The sequence below is a fragment of the Homo sapiens genome, chromosome 7 (assembly GCF_000001405.40).
Source record: "Homo sapiens chromosome 7, GRCh38.p14 Primary Assembly".
Taxonomy (NCBI): Eukaryota; Metazoa; Chordata; class Mammalia; order Primates; family Hominidae; genus Homo; species Homo sapiens.
In genome coordinates, this window is record NC_000007.14 from 115767767 (window position 1) to 115772976 (window position 5210).

The 5210-nt window shown below is 34.8% G+C and overlaps 1 annotated feature.

Moving 5' to 3' along the window:
• Nucleotides 4612–4771: a silencer, noted in NCBI's record as "fragment chr7:115412432-115412591 (GRCh37/hg19 assembly coordinates)". NCBI's record gives its function as "represses an EF-1alpha promoter that drives an FKBP-Casp9 reporter gene in an ReSE screen in K562 erythroleukemia cells {active_cell/tissue: K562}" and the evidence as "EXISTENCE:reporter gene assay evidence [ECO:0000049][PMID:32094911]".

A 5210-nucleotide genomic window follows, 5' to 3' on the forward strand; every position in this document is an offset into this window, starting at 1 on the left:
TCAGCTCCGTGACTTTTGACCACCTCAAAAACACAAGCTGTGAAAACACAAGCATTCCTTCATTTTACTTATCATTTGGATCCTCAGCTCTGATTCACTTTTTTCAAAACTTATTTTGGAGCCAACGGGGATTGGTAAGTGAAAGGCTACCTGGGGCTGATTGTCATCAGCAGCAGGGCCCCGCGTGGAGGAGAATTACGGCTCTTGTTCACAAGGGTATGTTTATAATACATCTAAACTTACCTGGCAAAGGGTCTTTGAGGAGACTGTGGAGCAAGGGTGGAAACAGATAAGAACATGACTTGAAAAAGACACTTTGGTGGTTTAGAAAGTTCTTTGGGGGAATATTCTCCCTCTCTATTCAGACTTTTCCATTCTTTATCAACTCAGTTTTATTTAGTATCTGTGTATGAAGTTAAAAACGTGCTTTCTATTTTTTTTCCTATTCAAATAGCTGTGTGCAAGGCCTAGATGGTTCTTAGCACCCATCAGTTCATGTACTTTGCAGGTAACACTCATTTAGTCTCATAAGAATGACTTACCTCAGACCTTGGACTTAATTTGGGACAGAAATGAGACTGTATTGTGGGCTTAGGGACACCTGAGATACTGTTTCTCAACTACTAACTGTGTGATCTTCGGAAAAACTCTTACCTTCTCTGAGCTGGAGTGGCAGGTGGTACTGGGAGATGACTGGGAGAGATGGGTGTGACAAGTATTAAAATCCAGGTGTCACACATTACATTTCACAACTACTTTTAGAATAGTCCCATCAAAGCATATCTTCACAATAGACAAATTTTCGATCCTCACGATGCAAACACTTACAAATGATTGTGTAGGAAAATCCTGTGGTTTTACTTAACAAAAGTGAAGATTACATATTATTCAACGCATTATCACAAAGCTCTTTCTATTTGAAGGGGCCAAAGTCTAGATATAACTTGTAACCCCACTGAATTCTATCCCTGAGAACAAAGGGTAATTTCTGCTCAGCAATCCTCAGTGGGTATGTAAATGAATGCTGCTGAAATATTCAAAAGCTGATACCAATACAAAGTGAAGTGCAATAATCTAAATGTGTCATTGCTTTCTCCTGCTCCTAATTACTAGCTTTAGGCTTTTTTTTTTTAACCAATATTTTGTCTCCTTGCTTTTCCTGTACAGATTGAATGAACACCCAACTATATAGGATTACTAGTTTCTCACAGCAGCTTTCAAGCATTGTCTTCGTTTTTCTTTTGGTTCCGTCATTGCTCTGGCTGTGACCGGTTAGCAGAGTTGGTTGATGTGCAAAATGTTCAAAGTCACAACTTACATGGGCTAAATTACTCTTTGTTCCATGGTTATAGAAATCACTGTAACGACAAGGAAAAATTCACTGGTTACAAGGAAAATCAAAACTAGTGCACTTCAGAAGGGATGTTCACTCAAAGGTTAAAAAGTAATGCCACTTTTGCATGTAGAGAAGTTCACTGGTAATATAATACCATCCTTTTAAATAAAACTCTTAATGTAAAGTGTGGAACTGTGTTTGGTTTATACTTTCTCTCTAAGCCCCTTGACGAAGTGACGCCTTTCTTAAGGATGGAGTCCCAAGAGAACCTCTTCTGTGAATCTCAGAGGCCGCTCTTCCATTCATCACATGACATACTCAGCACTTTGCTCCTCAAATTTTCTAATGTCCACCAGCCATGGCCAGACTCTCTCATCTAGCAGCCCAACTGCTGCTGATTTGCTATAAAAAAAAAAAAAAAAAAAAAAAAAAATTGGAGAACCTAAAATGAAACTGAATTATCTCAAGATTTCACTGCAATGAAACTTATGGGTGTTTTCTCTTGTATGAGATAATTCTTTCCATTGTTAATTACAGCCACTCTGCTTCCATCCCTGATTCCTCAGAGGGACTCAGATTTATTGATTAAATTGAGGGGCTAATGCAAAGGATATTTACAATGCTTGCTCAGAAATAGCTTATCCTTTTGGACACAGAAACCTTGTGTCTGACAAAAGCTTGCTTGCAGGCTTTTCCTTTTCATCAGAACAAGTTCTCCCCTTAAGAAACTCTTTAGGGCTTCTTGAAAATTGGTCCCAGATAGACACACTCCTCTAACACTAACTTAATAGGCATAAATCCAGGGGTTGATTTAGCTTATGCTTGAGCCATACTTGGAGCCACCAATTATTAACCTTAGGAATCATAGATTAATTTTATGTTACTTATTCTTATAGAGTTTTCAATGCTATATTTATATCAAATTAATCATTTTCAAATTATTTCTACTACACAAACATGATAATAGTAGATATGGTTATGGATATAGATGAAATATCCAGAGCTGCCACCCCAACTTATCCTTTCTCTCATAACCACATTTCCCTTCACTTCAAGGAAAATAACTTAAAAACTGGACTAAATCATTCTACTCATATAGTCACATTCTCTAAATTATGTATCTGTGTTAGAATTCAAAAGGAGAATTAAAAAGTAAAGGAAATTTGGAAAGCACCTAAATATTATCATTAATGTATAGTTTTTATTATTAATGAAACAATATAGAATAGAATAATAGAATTTTTACTAACATTATTAATAAATATTGTGCCTCAAACACTTACTATGTTTGGAACTGTGCTAATAAGCATTTCACATATTTTCCCCATTTAATCCTGACAATAATTCACAATAAATAGATGATTAGCCTCACTTTATAGGAGAGGAAAGTGAGTCTTAGCACGGTTAAATAATGAAGTCAAAGTTAACCAACTAGCAAATAAGAAATCTGGAACTTGGATGAAAGTCCATCCAACTCCATAAATTTTTAATGTATTCTCCTTTATCATTTTCATTCCTTCCTTTCTTCCTTTATTTCTTCAAATATGTTTATTAAATATATCTTATTTAGGAGGATTTTGAGTTAATGTCATAAAGTGTACCAGAAAATATGAGATAGATTTTGTCTTTAAAGAACTTACAGTTACTTAGAGGACACATATTCTTTGTTTCCTTCTTATCGCCCAGGTTGGAGTGCAGTGGCACAATCTTGGCTCACTGCAACCTCCACCTCTGTAGCTCAAGTGATCCTCATGCCTCAGCCTCCCAAGTAGCTGGGACTGCAGGTGTGTGCAACCACACCTGGCTAATTTTTATATTTTTAGTAGAGTCAGGGTTTTGCCATGTTGGCCAGGCTGGTCCCAAACTCCTGGCCTCAAGTAATCTGCCCACCTCCGCCTCCCAAACTGCTGGGATTACAGGTGTGAGCCACTGCACCTGACCCAGCATATAGTCTTTAGATGACTATGTTTAAAGGAATACATTGCCAGAGTACATAAGAAATATATCCAAATTAATTGTATAATTATTCTGAGTTATATAACAATTTTTTAAAAAAAAATTCCACTGTCCAAATACTAAGATCTTAGGAAAGATCTGAAATGGCTGGCAAAGACCCTAAAAGAAGACCAGAAACAGTATTATTCTGAGCATAGGTGCAGAGTAAGGTAAGATTAGTCAGGAATTAAATGATGCATCCTTTGAATAGCTGGATAAGTGGGCAATATTTTATGAAGAAGTCTAAGTTTTTGACAAAGAGAATTCAGTATTTTACATCTCTCAACAAAATATGGAATAATTCAAACTATGTATGACTATTCTCTCATTGAGAAGACATTCGTGAGAATGATTTAGGAGACAGGACAGTGTCAGAGAAAAGATAAACTGCGGAGTCAGAATAACCTGTGTTTGAAATCTGGCTTAGCCATATTCTAAACAAAATGCTTAAATTATCTGAAACTGTTTGCCCATCAGTAAACAAGAAATAATAAAAGTGGCATCCACCTTATAGAAATGTTATACAATATTTGACATTATGTATGAAACACTTTACGTGAGGAAGGTACTCAATACATGGTATAGCTTTTAGCATAGCTTAATCTTATGTCCTTCCTTCATTAGGAATATCAGTATTTTTAGGCAGATGTCCTTGTCTTTTCTCCCTCCGATAGGTGAATTTCTGCTAAAACTACCTACTTCATTAAATGAAGATTTTTTGTTAACAATGAAAATGAAATAGAATTCAATTCAGGGTACATGATGTATTATTCCCTTTGATAGACTATTCAAACTTAAACTCAGTTTCAAAACACCTGATTATCATATTCAGGAAACAGATTTTGTTTACCTTTCTGTCTCTTTTCCATTAAAAAAATTTAAAGCCACATTTAGTGGAGTATAATTTAACATAAAATAAAAGTTTCTTTTTTATAGTGTATAGTTCCATGAATCTTTACAAACACATATTGTCATGTAACAAATACCAAAAGCAAAATATAGATCAGTTTCATCATCCCTCCAATTTTCTCTTTTCTATTTGTAATCAACTCCTTACCACACCCATAGCCCTTGGCAATTACTAATGTTTTTGTTATAATTTTGCTAATGTTTTTGCTATAGTTTTGCTTTTTCAGAATGTCATAGCAAGGAATCATCATCTATTACATATAAACATTATAATTTGGTTTCTTTCTCCAAGTACAATGATAACATTCATCCAAGCCATTTCATGTATCAGTAATTCTTTATTATTTCTTTTTTGATGTTTCAATGTATGGATATATGACAATTTGCCTAATTGACAGTTATTTTGTTTTTTTTTTCCAGTCTGAAGCATTTATGAATAAAGGCACTATAAACTTTTACTTACAAGTGTTTATGTAAACACACATTTTCATTTATCTTGGTAAATACATAGGACTAGACTTGCCAGATTGTATTATAAAGATAGGTTTAACTTTATTCGCAGAACTGCTTTCCAATGTGGCTGTACAATTTTGCATTTCCACCAGCAATACATGAGAATTTCAGTTCCACGTTCTCAACAACACTTTTTAAAAATAGCCATTCTGATAGATGTGTAATGGTATCTCATAATGGTTTTAATTTGCATTTTACAAGGACACCCAATGAAAGTCAGATTGGTTGGTGCCCCCTCCTCCACTCTTGTGAAATATTTTCAATGTCACACATGTATACCTTCCCACAATTTAAGGTAATGGGAAATATATTAAGACAATGTAAAACTTTCTTAAACATTACCCCACTACAGTACTCAACTACTCATTTGCACCTCGATATTTGTGTGCATAACTTTTAATAGAAAAATTTACCATTATTTCCACACTGATTTTTTTCCTTCTGGGAACATCATGTT